At 39.5% G+C, this 17,679-nt stretch overlaps 1 protein-coding gene and 1 long non-coding RNA gene across 7 annotated transcripts in view; one reads left to right on the top strand and one right to left on the bottom strand.

Annotated features, from left to right (window-relative positions):
• DHX29 (DExH-box helicase 29) overlaps positions 1–3,671 on the top strand; it is a 51,640-nt gene extending 47,969 nt beyond the window's left edge. For all 6 annotated transcript variants that reach the window (NR_144325.2, NR_144323.2, NR_144324.2 and 3 more), the window contains exon 27: positions 3,186–3,671. Coding sequence is in view for 3 of the 6 variants with exons in the window: in NM_001345964.2 (NP_001332893.1) it covers positions 3,186–3,238 (53 nt within the window). In the remaining 3 variants the exon portion in view is untranslated. The remainder of the gene's footprint in view (positions 1–3,185) is intronic.
• The window catches only part of CCNO-DT (CCNO divergent transcript), a 61,409-nt gene that overhangs the window by 35,577 nt on the left and 8,153 nt on the right, over positions 1–17,679 (bottom strand). The window lies entirely within an intron of this gene.

Below are 17,679 nucleotides of genomic sequence, written 5' to 3'. Positions count from 1 at the left end.
CAGCACTTCTGGGAGGCCAAGGTAGGCAGATCACCTGAGGTCAGGAGTTCGAGACCAGCCTGGCCAACATGGTGAAACCCTGTCTCTACTAAAAATACAAAATTAGCTGGGCATGGTGGCGGGCACCTGTAATCCCAGCTACTCGGGAGTCTGAGGCACAAGAATCACTTGAACCTGAGAGGCGTAGGTTGCAGTGAGCGCCAAGATCACATGATTGCACTCCAGCCTGGGCGACAAGAGCGAAACTCCATCTCAAAAAAGAAAAAAAGAAACTTTGTAAGAGAAAATCTGAAATATTCTAGAAATTTTTTTTTGTAACATTGGAGTATACTAAAGCACACTGAAGTCGTAAAAAATCCCATCTACTTTATGCTGAATTCCATCAAACTCAATTAGTGATTATTCACAGCCTAATTATCCTCTTAAGGTTTAGTTTACTCCTGTCTCTTTTAAACTTCATTTCTAAACTTCTAGCCATTTCATAGAAAAAAAGGTTAATAAAACTGAGCATAGTAAACTTTGTTACTTATTAGCATTTTAGTAAACTGGTAACATAGCTATTATTTAAAAAAAAATAATAAGCCAAACATGGTGTCATATGCCTGTAGTCCTAGCTACCCAGAAGGCTGAGGTGGGAAGATTGCTTGAGCCCAGGAGTTAAAGTCCAGCCTAGACAACATAGAGAGACTCTGTCTCTAAGAAATATATGTATATATACACATACCTATATATGTATTTGTGTGTGTGTGTATGATTAGGGACTTTCTGTTAGGTTTATTTCAGCATGGTTTTTCCACCATGTGTTTCTTTCAAATGCAGAGCTATTTCTCTGTATAAAATAAACACATTATCCTTCAACAGAAATCTGAAATGAGCCGGGCATGGTGACACCTGCCTGTAATCCCACCACTTTGGAAGGCTGAGGCAGGAGGATCGCTTGAGGCCAGGAGTTCAAGACTAGCCTCGGTAACATAGGGAGATGCCATCTCTACAAACAATTAAAAAAAGTTAGCCGGGCCTGGTGGCTTGTACCTGTTGTCTCAGCTACTTGGGAGGCTGAGGCGAGTATCCGCACTCCAGTCTGGGTGACAGAGCAAGACCCCACATCAAAAAATAAGAGAGAAATCTGAAATGGACATCTGAGTTTGCAGTTTGCCCAGTGCAGTGTTTCTCAAACTTGCCAAATCATCAAAATCATCCTGGCAGTTGCAAAGAATACAAGGTCCAAAGACCTACCCCAGACATACTGATCTCTATGGGAGAGGCCTGTGGCTATATTATTTTTTAAATATTTTATTCTGTAACATTTCCCCTCTAAGGCTATCCCATTTTTAAATGCAGTTAATTATTTTTAATAAACTGAGTTGTTTTTCTGGTAGAATGTCCCACATTTAGGATTTGGTTAGTTACATACTCATGCTTTAACATGTTCATGTATTTCCTATAAACTGGTAGTTATATTTGGAGGTATGATTAGAATAAGTTTTGAGGAAAATAATACTTTCTAGTTGGTGCTGTATTCTCCCCACTGCGTCACACCAGGAAGCACTTAAATTTGGTTGTCCTTTTAATGTTAAGAATTGATCAGTGACTTCAGTATGATTGTACTGAACAAAGTATCCCCAGTTTATTCTCAACAGTCACAGGCAAGTTGGGGGAGCTACTGATCTAGTTCTACTACCCTGAAGCCTCATACTCTGTGTTTATTTGTATAACTAAATATGAATGCATAAGCATTAAAATGTATTAATTTTCCTATACTGCTGGAAACAGATCAAGTCTTAACATATTAAGACGTGGGCTCTTTTCTCAGGAAGCTTTGTGCATTATAACTTTGGCATTAGAAAGAATTACATTTTATAAAGTATAGGTTGAACCTCAGCTTTTAATTAAGCAAAATGATTTTTTGAAATGATATCAGTGTTTCCCTTTGCCATAAGAGAGAGAGCAGAACTTACCAAGTTGGGTGTAGTATATACGTTTGACTTGGGAGGAAGGAAGAAGTATGTTAGTGCTCTCTCTTGGATTTATAACAAAAAGTTGGTAGAATGCCAAACATTTGAAAAACAGTAACTGAACTTACTCTTGTACTTTCTTTTACTCTCTCTTCCTCAATTTAAAAATCATGGTTCTTGGAGCCAGGTATGGTGGCTTGCGCCTGTAATCCCAGCTACTCAGAGGGCTGAGATGGGAAGATTGCTTGAGCCCAGGAGTTCAGAGCTGCAGTGAGCTGTGATCACACCACTGCACTACAGCCTAGGCGAGAGTGAGACTCCATCTCTTAAAAAATAAAAAAGAAAAACGTTCTTTCTAGACCTGCCATTGTTCCAACTTCAAACAAGTGACCTCTCTTTTTCCCCTCCCTCCCACTTTTTTGTTGTTGTTTCTAATGCCACTGTAACCATTGCAACTATTGAAAGCGACAGCATTCTCTGAGTATCTAACGTAAATGTAGAATTTCAGTTTTGCAGCCCTGATAATTGTAACTTCCTAAAGAGTGGTTGTGAGGTTCTTAGGAAGTCACAATTTCAGAGTTAACTATTAAGTAGAAGCAGTTGTTAACAAAACCCCTTTAGCAAATAATGCAGCCTCTGTTGCTCTGTTTGTCAAATTAATTGGTATTTGATTCCTTTGTTGTGTAGAGAGGTCTGTCACTTCCGCATTGACACCTCTCCAAGAGCGCTTCCCTGTTAGAATTTTTTGTTTCCTTTGGACTAAACATGGAGAAACTGGTAACAGTTCTTTCTTCCTTGCTCATACTTTGGAAATTCTGCCATACTCTGAAGAACACTGAAGAGTCAGTAGAGCCTTCAGTATATTGCAGCCAAGTGAAAAAGTTGAGAAACTTACTTTCTTCAAGGAATTTTTATAGAATAAAATTTATAATTCCTTATAAAGAAGTAACATTTCACATCATATTATCTCTTTGGGGTTTAGCCTATACAAATGTTATCTGTTTTCAAAATGTTAACTTTTGTCAAACTAGGTATGGCATAACCTACAGCAATAAAATCTATGTAGGGCAAAAAATATTTTATAGGTGTCTCTAGTTTTATTACTGGTGTTAATTCTGTATTCTAATGTAAAAATTTTTAGTGACATATACCTCTTATTTACATGTGCATACCTTGGAAAATTAGACAATGTTGCATTTATTCGTGGCTTTTTTTTTTCCTTCCACTCAGATGACAAGATTCTGCAGATCATTACGGAATTGATAAAAACAGAGAATAACTGAAACTGAAATTCATGGTCAACTGCTTTAAAAATTAAGATGAAGATACAGTCATGAAATTATCTGAAAATGGGTCATCACATTAAGTATTTCATTACTTAAAATGTTGGTACTAGCCATTAACTTAAAGGTGGTGGGAAAAAAGCACATACTTTAAACATGTATAATTTTCTAGTTCCTTTTTAATGATGATTATTCTGAATGTATTTGCCACTACATTTACAATAAATTCTTTGGTATTATGCATGTTTTGCTCATCGTTGTGTTAATAAGGGCAAGGCCTATGTCTGTGGTATCTGTAGCTTAATGTTGTGATTCCCTGTGTAGCTGCCTCATCCCCTATCAGTCCTTGATGTCTGCAGAATTTAAACCCTATAGACCCAGAAGGGAAAATAATCTCCAAAACCAATTATAATTAAATTTCCATGAAAAGGAACAACTTCAGAAGTCAGTTATTTAGTATTTGATAGTCAATTTCAGAACCTAAATAAATGCACTATTAATAGATGCCACCTATTTCAGTAACATTCAAAAAGCATAAACATGTGGTTCTGGAAGACAGGCAAGATTGACTAATAAATACTCCTGTCAGCCTTGGGATGGATAGTTTGCACTGTTTTCCTCAGGCTACCGCTGTGATATCCCTGCCCCTGAACCCTTTTTATATACGCGATTGAACTGGTAAGGTCAGTAACTTTGAGATAGTAAAGTATGCGTAGGTATTTTTCATTGGTCCTATTTGTTTTGGTTACTAACAATCTTTTGAAATTCCATTTTTATTACTTAGAGGGATTTCTCATTTCTTAATCAATAGATTTTTGATAAACTTCAAATATAGTCCCTTTTAGATCAAAAGGCAGAAATTGCATCTGAAGATCAAAAGATTAGAATTTAATAGGAACCTAGTATAACTGCTTGGCTCTCATAACAGGTATATAATTTTAATATTTTTTGATGAACAAATTAAACCGTAACTTTTACCTTATATGCAAATGGAAGTAAAAACAATACTTAGTAGCAATCTCTAATTTTAGGTTTCTACTTGCAGTGTGGCAAGGGAATTGAGAGCAAGGAGTCAAATGTGACCATGGTTTGAAATCTCTAGTGCCATTAATAAAAATGGGTATGTCAGGAGAAAGAGCTAGATTGGGTGTTGAAGGCAGTTCCTCTTGGGACACATGGAGGCTAGTACTCACTCCAAATTGTTTTGTCTGTTAACTCATTTACAGACAACCTACGAGGTAGGTACTATATTAACCTACTATTTGTATTTTACAAATGAGGAAACTGAGGCACAGAGAAGTGAAATAGCATGTCCGAGATCACACTGATAGTAAGTAACAGAAGCATTATGGCTCCAGTACTATTTAGATTTCTGAAATGTAATCATTATTCCTTTGAAATGTGAAACAGTGACTCACATCAGGTAAGGTCATAGGGTTAGAGTCTTATACACAGAGATGATAATTAAAGATGTGGGAGTTGAGGTAATCAGCAAAGGGGTAAGAAGATCAAAGTCCCTTTCGTCTTTCATCTTCTCAGCCGTCACTCAGACCCAGGTCACCATTATCTTTCACTTACACCACTGCAGTAATCTCTGAACTAGGCTTTCTCCTCCTTTTTATACCTCTAATCCGAAAAAGAATGATATTTTTAAAGGGTATCTGTGTCACTTGGCTTCCCATTGCTCTTAAAATTTAAAGTTCTAAACATGACCTCCAAAGCTCTCTAACTGATCTGGACCTTGCTATCCTCCAGTCTCATCTCCACTCTTTTGTCTCATGGTGCTCCAGCCACACTAGGCTCCTTTTCAGTTGCTAGAAGATGTCAAGCGGTTTTTCTGAGCATTTACACATGGCGTTCTCTGCCATAATACATTGCTTCCGGTTCTTTGCCAAGCAGACTTTCCTGGTCTAAAGCCCTCCGCACAGGCCACCCTACTGAAGTGCATATCCCCTTTTACTCATAACACGGTACTTTTCTCAGCTTGTACCATTTGCTTTTCATCTTCTTCTCACTAGAACATATGCTGCACCAGGACTGTTTCACTCGCTGATACATACCTAACACAATGCCTTGCATATATAGGCATTCAATAAATGCTGAATGAGTGAAGGATAAGGAGAACCAGAGTAGGGCTATCTTAATGCCAAGGAAGAAGATTTTTGAAAGCAAAAGTATTGTCAACAGATGTTACAGAGTAGGGAAAGATTACTAAGGTTTAATGAATACATCAACCTTTTGAGATCAGTTTGAATGGAGGGTGGGAAGGAAGGACTCTCAGAAGTCCCACAACTACATGCACATTCAATGATACACCAGAAGGACTTGCAAGACTCAGAGGCTACAGTTGATTTTGTAGAGAAAGGATATACAATGGAATCAGCAAGGGGAAAAGACACATCACATGGAGTCTGGAGAAATCTATACACAGGCTTCCTATGTGCTATGCAGTTTCTGCCCAGAGAAACCTACTACAGAATCAGAGTGCAAGGACTTTTATTAGGGGCAGGTCATACAAGCACAAAGACCAGGCATAACAAAATTCCAGGCTCCCAGAAGGAAAGCAGGCATTTAAGTGTTCTAGCAGGCAAAACAGTGTTAACAAAAAGCAGAGGACTTTTCACAAGTCAAGTTCCCAGGCTCCAGCCAAGGGCCAGCCCTACAAGCAGTCTCTTCTAAAGACCTCTGGCTTGCTATGTTAACTCTTTTCTGCATGAGTACAAGTCATAATTTTAGGGAGTGAATAAAAATGAAAAGGTGGGGCAGCAAATAGAATATTCTTTATGGATGTTATAAAGGAACAGAATGCATAATAGGTTGAATATGAATATATTCACAAAAGGTTGAAGACCCTCACTGATTTGCAGGCAAAAATAGAAATAACCAGCATAAAGTGAGGATAATATTAACATCAGAGAGGGCTCAACAAAGAACTAAAACAGAATAACATAGGAATCAACTTGGAAAGGCTTTTTGGTTTTCCCCAGCAATGCTTACTGGCTTCGGATAAGCTGATAAAGTTGACAGTGGATAGGATTTTTTGGTTTCTGGAGTTTTTTGCATTGAAGTGACTATGGGATCTTAGAATGAAATAGATTGTGTCATTGAAATGGGTGACTGAAATCGCTTATTTAGAGGCAAATGGGGCCAGATCAGAGGCCATGGACCAGGAAAATGGAGACGTCAGAATCTAATCCCAAATTCATTATGAATAAGTCAATGGTAGGGAGGCCAGTTAGAGGAGAGAATTTCAGAATTTAAAATCTTGAGATGTAATTGTTTCAATAATAAATAAACCTAAAGGGTTTCCCTGCTGATGGATAGCAAAATGGATGTGGGGAGAATTTAAAGTAGGGACAGGATGAACAGCATATTTGTTCATCAGTGTGGATGCAGGAAAAGGATGGAGAAGACCAGGCCAGGTGCTACAGTCACTAGGAAAAGGAGGCGGGTGCCCTCGATCTTAACATACAGTGGTAAGAAAAATCAAGTGTCATATGAGAAAATCACACTCTTCAGATAAGTTGTTGAGTCCTGGTGGTAGTTCAGGAATATGCCTGCCTGTTTTCATGAAATCCGTTCTTATGCATGAGACATTTAGAAGTAGATGAAGAGTCGGCTGAGTGCAGTGGCTCACGCCTGTAATCCCAGCACTTTGGGAGGCCGAGGCGGGTGGATCACCTGAGGTCAGGAGTTTGAGACCAGCCTGGCCAATATGGTGAAATCCCATCTCTACTAAAAATACAAAAATTAGTTGGGCATGGTGGCAGGCACCTGTAATCCCAGCTACTCGGGAGGCTGAAGCAGGAGAATCTCTTGAACCCGGGAGGTGGAGATTGGAGTGAGCCAAGATTGTGCCACTGCACTCCAGCCTGGTGACAGAGCAAGACTCCGTCTAAAAGAAAAAAGAAGTAGACGAAAAGTCTTCACTGGAGAGGATTAGTGGGAAGGAAAGGGAGTATTACCAAGGGAAAGTATATTTCCAGTTTTTAAATTGAGCATTATATGATAAGCACTGAACTAAGAGCTTTACTATATTCTTGTTCAGTCCTCACAACAAGATGGTAATATATTTTCAATTTACAAACGAGAAAACCGATGCTAAAGGTCACTCAGCTAACGGGGAATAAATGAAAAGGTCATTCAAAAATAACCTAAGCAGTCTACTGCTGTGGGGTAAAGGGAATTTTCTTCCCTCCATCCTTCTGAAAGTTCTATAATTTCCCTATAAAATAAACTGACTATAGACAGATTAACAGGGAAAAAAGGCATAAAAATGTATTAATGTGCATAAACATGGGAGCTATACAAAATATGAGGCTCAGAGGAGGGGGGCCAGATGAAGTTTATATAGTATAAAAGAATAGAGGCTTAGAATGTGGCAAGACAGGTTATGGGAGGGAGAGGAAAGGAAAAGCATGGGGAGCAAAGGCTACATCTTGTATGTAGATGAAGTCTCAAGGGTAGCAGCCCTCAGAAAGAATAGAGGGTAGCCCATGGTAACATTTTTGTCAGACCTTTAAAAGTGTCAGATTTTTAGTCTCCTTTTCCTGTGAGGTAATCTTTCCTAGATCTGGATAAGGCAGATAAGGAGGGGCCTCAGAGAGAGCCTGTTTGCATCTGGGGTTTACTTCACTAATATAGATTTCCTCTACAGAAGCAAATCTCCCCCATAAAATGACAGTTTTTCAGAGCAATTACCTGTAGTGTGCAGCCCCTCCAAATTGCCATCTTGAAATATGGCCAAAAAGTATTTGGGAGCCAGTGTGGTGGCTCATGGCTATAATCCTAATACTTTGAGAGGCTGAAGTGGGAGGATCACTTGAACTCAGGAGTTCAAGACCAGCTTGAGCAACATGGCAAAACCCTGTCTCCACCAAAAATAGAAAAAAGTAGCTGGGTGTGGTGGTACACACCTGTGGTCCCATCTATTCAGGAGGCTGAGGTGGGAGGACCACTTGAGCCAGGGTGGCAGAGATTGCAAGAAGCTGAGATCATGCTGCTCTGCACTCCAGTATGGATGACATTGAGACACCGTCTCAAAAAAAAAAAAGTATTTGGGGGGTGTAAAATATTAATTGGCATAAGGATAGACATATACAGTCTCTGACTTAAGATGGTTTGACTTGAAATTTTTTGACTTCACAATGATGTGAAAGTGAAATGCATTCAGTAAAAACTGTACTTCAAATTTTGTTTTCATATTTTCCCAGGCTAGTGATATGCAGTATGATTACAGTATTTTCAATTGATGATACCTTTATCAGGACATAACCCCATTGTAAATTGAGGAGCACTGGTAGATAGAATTAAAAGTTCAGACACAAACCCATGTGTCTATGGTTTGCTAATTTTCAACAAGGGTGTCAATGGTGCAATAATCTTTTCAACAAATGGTGGATACCATGGATAGCTATGGATAACCACTGGATAGCTACATGCAAAAGAATGAATTTGGGCCCTTACCTCATGCCATGTACAGAAATTAAAGTGGACTATAGAGCCAAGTGTAGGCTGAACGTGGTGGCTCATGCCTGTAATCCCAGCACTTTGGGAAGCCAAGGCAGGTGGATTGCTTCAGCCCATAAGTTTGAGACCAGCCTGGGCAACAGGATGAAATCCCATCTCTACAAAAAAGTGCAAAAATTAGCAGGGTGTGTTGCTGCACACCTGTTGTCCCAGCCACTTGGGGGGCTGAGGTGGGAGGATCACTTGACCCTGGGAAGTTGAAGTTGCAATGAGCAGAGATCACGCCACTGCACTCCAGCCTGGGTGACAAAGTGAGACCTTGTCTCAAAAAAACAAACAAACAACAACTACATCGAAAACAAACAAAAAAGAGCTAAGTGTAAAAACTAAAACTACAATACTCTTAGAAGAAAATATAGGAGTAAATCTTTAGGACCTTGGATTAAGTAGTGATTTCTTAGATGTGACACCAAAAGCACCAGAAACAAAAGAAAAAAAATGGTACTTCATCAAAATTAAAAATAATTGTCCAATGCTGAAGGATCCCATTTATATGTGGAATCTAAGAAAGTCAAACTCACATAGGCAGAGTTGAACAGTTTCCAGGAGGTAGAGGAAATAGGGAAATATTGATCAAAAGGTACAAACTTCTAGTTATAAAATGAATAAGTTCTGGGGATTTAGTATACAGCATGGTGACTATAGTTAATAACAATATATTGTTTACCTGAAATTTGCTGAGAGAGCAATCTTAAGTATCCTCATCTCACATACATGAAAGACTGTGTGGCAAACGATGAATTACTCTGATTGTGGTAATCATTATATAGTGTAAACATAGATCATATCACTTTGTACACCTTGAATAAATATAATTTTTATTTGTCAGTTATACCTCAATAAAGCTGGAGATAATTTAATTATTAATATAATAAAAATACTTGTTCTTCAAAGGACACCATCAAGAAAGTGAAAAGGGGCCGGGCACGGTGGCTCACACCCGTAATTCTATTACAGGAAAGGGGTCCTGATCCAGACCCCCAAGAGAGGGTTCTTGGATCTCACACAAAAAACAATTTAGGGCAGGTCCATAGCGTAAAGTGAAAGCAAGTTTATTAGGAAAGTAAAGGAATAAAAGAATGGCTACTCCATAGACAGAGGAGCCCCGAGGGCTGCTGGTTGCCCATTTTTATGGTTATTTCTTGATGATATGCTAAACAAGGGGTGGATTATTCATGCCTCCCCTTTTTAGACCATATAGGGTAACTTCCTGATGTTGCCATGGCATTTGTAAACTGTCATGGCGCTGGTGGGAGTGTAGCAGTGAGGATGACCAGAGGTCACTCTCATTGCCATCTTTGTTTTGGTGGATTTTAACCGGCTTCTTTACTGCAACCTGTTTTATCAACAAGGTCTTTATGACCTGTATCTTATGCCAACCTCCTATTTCAGTCTGTGACTTAGAATGCCTTAACAATCTGGGAATGCAGCCCAGTAGGTTTCAGCCTCATTTTACCCATTCATTATGGAGTTGCTGTGGTTCACATGCCTCTGACAATTCCAGCACTTTGGGAGGCTGAGGCAGGTGGATCACTTGAGGTCAGGAGTTCGAGACTAGCCTGGGCAACATGCTGAAACCCCATCTCTACTAAAAATACAAAAATTAGCCAGTCATAGTGGTATGCACCTGTAGTCCCAGCTACTTGGGAGGCTGAGGCATGGGAATTGTCTGAACCCAGGAGGCAGAGGTTGCAGTGAGCCACGATTGCACCACTGTTCACTCCAGCCTGGGCAACAGAGCAAGACTCTGTCTCAAAAAAAAAAAAAAAAAAAAAAGAAAGAAAGAAAGAAAGTGAAAGGACAACCCCATAAAACAGGAGAAAATACTTGCAAATCATATGCCTGATATAGGACTTGTATACAGAAGATATAAAGAATTCTTACAACTCAATAATAAAAAGACAATCCTATTTAAAAATGGCAAACTAGGAATAGAAGGAAATTACATCAATATAATGAAAATAATATATGAAAATCCCACAGGTAACATCACACTCATTGATGAAAAACTAAAAACTTTTTTTGTAAAAATAGGACCAAGACAAGGATACCCACTCTTGTCATGCTATTCAACATAGTACTGGAGTACTAGCTAAAGCAATTAGGCAAGAAAAAGAAAAAAGGCATCTAAATTTAAAAGGAAGAAGTAAAACTCTGTTCACAGATGACAGATGACACGATCTTATATGTAGAAAACTTTAATGATTCCACAAAAACTGTTAGAAATAATACATTCAACAAAGTTCCAGCATATGAAACCAACATACAAAAATTAGTTGTTTGTACACACTAACAATCCACAAAGGAAATTAAGAAAGCAATCTCATTTATAATAGCATCAAAAAGAGTAAAATACTTAAGAATAAACTTAAACAAGGGAGGAGAAAGAGTTATCATTGAAAACTGCAAAATATTGCTGAAAGAAATTAAAGACACAAATAAACAGAAATGTTCACAGATTAGAAGACTGAATATTGTCCATATGACCCAAAGCAGTCTATAGACTCTATGCAATCCCTATCAAAATCCAAATGGCATTTTTTACAGAAATAGAAAAAAACAATTCTAAAATGTAAATGGAACCACAAAAGACTGATTGCCAAAATAATCTTGAGAAACAACAATAAAGCTAGTGACTTCACACTTCCTGATTTCATACATATTACAAAGCTACATTAATCAAAACAGTATGGTATGGCATAAAGACAGACATATAGACCAACAGGACAGAATAGAGTTCCCTAAATGGTTCATATGTGTATTCCAGCAAGCTGATACAGAAACAGCAGATATGATAATAATATGGAAATGCAGGTTAGGAATTTTTCAGTCACTCTGAAGGTACTGGGAAATATTTTTCCTGAATGATATACCTTTAACATCCAGATCTTCCACAGGAAAAGAAAGCCTAGCCACTCCATCCATCCATTTATTTCAAATCTGTATAGTTGAACAAACTATAGACCAAATCCTACCTCTCAACAGAGCGGCCCAATCTGCCACACGCTGAGTGCTTTTGTTAACTGCAGACCCTTGATGCCTTTTCTCATAAACTCTAAGCAGCATATGACGAGGCAGCCCTCAACAGCTGCTCTGTTTTGATCTGTACCCTATGATTTGACATCCAAGTAGGCACATTACACATTGTGTGCTGCCCTTCAGCCTTCCTTTTTGTTGCTTTTCAATAGGACGGCTTTGCTTTACATTTGGAACAGGGGTTTATCTTACCATAGTCTGAAGATACTAATTGCTGCCCTCTTTGTTTTCTGTGTGGTAGAGAAATAAAAGACAGGATAGATCTGCTGAGGTTATGTTAATATATGATGCCCCCCTGGGTATAAGGAGTTCTTTCTCCTTGAACATCTCTGGATGCTCATTATTTAAAATCATCATAAATATTATCAATAACAACAACACAGAGATGCATTAGCTTTAGCTTGCATTTAGTTGGGATATTCATTGTATACAGTAAGCCCACTTCCCACTACTACTCCTTTGCAGGTTACCTTGAAGTAATTATTTTTAGAGGATTTAACTATCAGTATCTAAATATTTGTAGGATTCCTGCCCACCAGAAAATGTTGCTCCCCAAACAAAAACATATTCTCAACATTATGAGAAATCTCACTTAGGGAATAGATTTGCACAACATTAAAAGAAAAAAACTGACATGTGGACTTGCAAACACTAGCAACACACAAGAACTTCTTCAAAGAGGCATCCCTGGCTATGCAATTTAAAGTAGATACCCATTCACACTCTAGGCCACCACACTTTTAAATCTATTTTAAGAATGTATTCCTGTCTGATATGGCTCACTTTTTTATTTTCAGCCTATCCACTCCCAGCTCTATGCAAGCAGGGGCCTTGTGTGTCTTATCCACTGCTGCAAACCTAGAGCGATGACTGGTACTTAGCAGGTACTCATTAAATATTGGTTGTGGAGGAACAGAGATAGACAACTATAGTGTCCAAGTACAGTTACATTCTAGTAACCAGAGAAATTTTTAAGAGCTTCCTTTCATGTTATATCTTAGATCTTCTACTTCATGTAAAATATATATTTGTACCAGAAATGGAAGGTGGAAAGATAAGCTGTATTTTTCAACAGGCTAATAGCCATGGTTCAAGAACAACGGCACAAACTTCTCTCACTCCTGAGGCCAGCCTGGTTTCAGAGATCTTCTCTTCACTCCCAGCAAGACTGCCAGATATAAGAATTTGCACTCTTTGGCCAATTTAAACTCATCTATTCAGCACCAGAGCTCTCTCTGAAAAGTGAAGTAAACTGTCACTTCCTTATGTGATCATCACCTAAAAGGTGGCTGGTTCATGGAAATTAGATGGCACTCTGTGGTCGTCTCACTCCAGATAGCTTTATGCTTTCTTTGGCCTTAAAGCCTTGCTTCCTTTACTCTATGCCCAAGTCTAGCTCAATTTTTACCTGCTGGCACATACTTGGGTAAGGGGATTCTGCCTGTCTTGCTATAACATATCTCAGAGCCTCCCAGATTTGTCACAAGAAAGTGCAACCAGCTCTGACCCTGTTGGCTTCTCCTTCCTCTGGGGGCTCTGTCCCTTGGCAAAGCTCTCCTTTCAAAGCAGTGGCCTGAGGACGGACTCAAAGCCTTTCCTTAGTTCTCCCTTCACATTTAATAAATACAGAACAGCACAGGGGTGAATGTCCAAACTGGAATCATACACTTGAATTTAAATACCGAATATTCCACTTACTAGCTGCACCTTCAAGCAAGCTCCTTAATCTGAACTTGTTCTCTCACCTGTAAATGAGGACAATAGTCATACCTATCTCATATGGTTGAGATAATGCTGCAAAGCTACAATAAAATATCATGTACAACTTTATAAGCTAAAGAACCCAGCAAATGTTAATGATAACAGCATCTACAGGATCTGCCCTATTGCCTCTCTGACTTCATCTGCTACTCTTTTCACTTCTACTCCAGCCACACTGGCCGCCTTGCTGGTCTTCCACACCCTGGGCTGCCCATGCCTCAGAGCTTTTGCACTGGCTAGTTTCACTGGCTAGTATACCCACAGATGTCCACATGGCCAACTCCTCCACTTCTTAGGGGTCTCTGCTCAAGTGTTACCTTTCCAATGACTAGCCTATTTAATGCCACAACCTGCCCACTGGCATTCCCAATGCCCCGGAGCCTGTACTGGTTATCTTTCCCTGCATCGTCACCCCATATAAGCTCCACAAAGGCAGAGATGTTTGTCTGTTCTATTCATTGATATAATCCAAGTTCCAAAACAAAAAGGAAAACCAGCTTATATTAAGCTATTCTTGCATTGCTATTTCAAAAAATACCGGAGACAGAATAATTTATAAAGAAATGAGGTTTAATCGGCTCACAGTTGTGCAGGCTGTACAGGAAGCATGGTGCTGGCATCTGCTTATCTTCTAGAGAGGCCTCAGGAAGCTTACAATCATGGCAGAAGGCAAAGGGGAGCAGGCACATCACATGGTGAAAGCAGGAGCGAGCGAGCGAGCGAGAGAGAGGTGACAGAGTGGGAGTGGGGGAGGTGCTGCACACTTTTAAAAGACCAGATCTCATGAGAACTCACTATCACAAAGACAGCACCCCAAGCCATGAAAGATCTTCCCCCCATGATCCAAACACCTCCTACCAGGCCCCAACTCTATTACTGGGGATTACAATTCAACATGATATTTGGGCAGGGACAAATATCCACACTATAGCACAGTCTCGCATACAAAGTTACACAGTTTTGCTCCTGGGGTGCCCAGGGGCTGTTTTATTCCATCCACTATTTTCTGATATCCATATATAATAGGTATTACCACCTTAAAGGCCTCACCTAGGGTCCCTGCTCTCTAACTTTCAGCCAGGTGCATATGAACAGTGTCATTTTTAAAACAAATGACATATCCATACAGCTCAAAATTAAAAAGGTAGATGAAGGTACACAGTAAAAAGTCCCTCTTCCTCTTATTTCTGTCTCCTAATCTGCCAAATCTTCTCTCCAAAGACAGCCAGTGTAACCAGTTACTTGTGTATCTGTCTAGAGAGATTCAACGCACATGCAAGGATGTGTGCATATGTGTATATACATGTACACATATATACATATCTTTTATACAAGTGACAACATATTAGACATGCTATTTTGCACCTTACTTTATTTCAGTCCTCTATTTTGAAACTCTGGGGCCAGCACGGTAGTTCACGCCTGTAATCCCGGCATTTTGGGAGGCCGAAGCAGGCGAATCATCTGAGGTCAGGAGCTCGAGACCAGCCTGGCCAACATGACAAAACCCCATCTTGACTAAAAATACAAAAAGTAGCCAGTTGTAGTAGTGCCTGCCTGCAATCCCAGGTACTCGGGAGCCTAAGACAGGAGAACCGCTTGAAGCCAGGAGGCAGTGAGGCTGCAGTGAACTGAGATCACACCACTGTACTCCAGCCTGGGCAACAGGGCGAGACTTCATCTCAAAAAAACAAAAACAAAACAAAACAACAACCAAAAACCTCACGAAAATCATTCCACATCAGTACAAAAACATTTGCCTCATTCTTTTCAATGGCCGCATAATATTCTATTTTTTGGATGTCTCTTATTGAAGACAATCAATGTTTTACTTCTAACAAGGATGTTGCAATAAATATAGTTTTATAAAGTCATTTTGCATTGATGTATACTAACTATCCAGAAGTAGAACTGCTGAGCTAAAGACTAGGTGCATTTTAAATGTTTACAGATCTTGCCAAATTGTCTTCCAAATGGTTGTAATTTATATTGCAACCAACAACATATTGATAACCTATATCCTCTTATCAAATGTTTGGATTGTTATCAATTATGATAAAAGTTTGGATTTTTCTGAGTTTCAGCATCTTTTCATATAGGACATTTTTCTTGTAAACTATTCAAATATTTGTTCATTTTTCTGTTAGAGTGTCACACTTTTTCATACTGATTTATAAGAGCTTTTTATATCTTAAGAAAATTATGCCAATTGCTTCTCGGCCTTTTGGCTAAGATCAAGGTAAAGAAAATTATGCCTATATCTGTGATATAAGTTATTTTTCTAGTTTCAACTTTTTTTTTTACTTTTCATAATCAAATTTACAAATCTTTTTTTTTTTTTTTTTTGAGACGGAGTCCTACCCTGTTGCCAGGCTGGAGTGCAGTGGCATGATCTCGGCTCACTGCAACCTCCACCTCCCGGGTTCAAGCGATTCTCCTGCCTCAGCCTCCCAAGTAGCTGAGACTACAGGTATGCGCCACCACACCCAGCTAATTTTTGTATTTTTAGTAGAGACAGGGTTTCACCGTGTTAGCCAGGATGGTCTCAATCTCTTGACCTTGTGATCTGCCCACCTTGACCTCCCAAAGTGCTGGAATTACAGGCCTGAGCCACAGTGCCCAGCTAAATCTTTTTTTTTTTAACAGTCTCTTGGTTTTGTGTCATACTTCCCTATTCTGAGAATATCACAAAATCTGCAGCTTATCACTTTCAAACTCACCATTGACAATGAAGAGCAAATCTCCTGGATACCCCAATACCAGGGTAGGGTATGGGGATGCAGGGGAGTGGCAAATCCAAGAAAGAGATTTCCTTCCTGCAAATTACCAACATCTTTCCCTTTATTCTGGCTCCTTTTCTAGAAAGCTCACTTTTTCTCCAAGCAAATGACACCAAGAATGACCTCATTCTTCAGATGAGATTCTGCTCCCTATATCCTGGTGTATGGTATAATGAAGCTACATAATACCCAAAACAAGTTTGATAGTGTAACAAAATCTTGACCATATCATAAGTAAATTGCAACACACTAAATGTTACACACACAGTATCAGGAAGGTTCCTTGCTCCTCACAGCCCTGAGTCTACATGGGCAACACCACCATCTAAAGGGAATCCAGCAGAGTAAGCATCAGGCTACCATCACAGTTTGACGAAATGCTTGCAAGGCCCACTGAAACAAGTCACTTAGTATCCCACACCATAACAGAGTTGAGGCCTGGGCTGGCTTCAAGCATAATTATGCTGCAGTGCTTACTACCTTTTAGTTCTTGATGTGCTCTTCTGATCCAGACCCTGGAAGGACAGAGGTTGCTGCTGGAGACCTTTCCACCCAGCATCTGAATATGGCAAAGAGACTTAACCTTTACAGAAGTAAAATTTCTTGGGCCAGGCACAGTGGCTCATGCCTGTAATCCCAGAACTTTGGGAGGCTGAGGTGGGTGGATGACTTGAGCCCAGGAGTTCAAGACCAGCCTGGGCAACATGGCAAGACCCCGTCTATAAAAAAAAAACAAACTAAAATTAGCCAGGCATGGTGGCATGTGCCTGTAGTCCCCAGAGGCAGGAGGATTGCTTGAGCCCAGTTGGGGGGAGCAGGTGAGGAGGCTGCAGTGAGCCCTGATGGTGCCACTCTAGCCTGGTGAGACCCTGTCTCAAAAAAAAAAAAAAAAGAAGTAAAACTTAAATGTTACACCAGGTGATGTTTATTTGGAGAGCTAGACCTTTAGTTCAGTACTCAAAGACCAGCTTCAGATCTCAAAGTCCAGTGGAACTATAATATGAATAGTAGCCTCTTTGCAACTATAATAAATACACATACTCCCTACAAGAAACCAAAAAACAGGTATTAGTTTTCCAACCACCCTGGATGACAAAGACACATATACCTTATACCTTAGCTAGAAAAAAAACCATAATTATAGCAGCAACTGATATTGAAAACTACATGAACGTATTATATGTCTTCATTAATCCTTATAACAATGTTATAGGATACCCTTACTATCCCAATTTTTTAAACACTAGAGCAACAGAAATAAAAAGGTTGAATAACTTGCCCACGTTCACAGAGCTAGTATACTGCAGACAGGATTGAACTCCAGAAGTCAAACTC

The sequence above is a fragment of the Homo sapiens genome, chromosome 5 (assembly GCF_000001405.40).
Source record: "Homo sapiens chromosome 5, GRCh38.p14 Primary Assembly".
NCBI lineage: Eukaryota > Metazoa > Chordata > Mammalia > Primates > Hominidae > Homo > Homo sapiens.
Note: the sequence above shows the minus strand (reverse complement) of the source record. Positions and strands in the feature narration are given on the sequence as shown.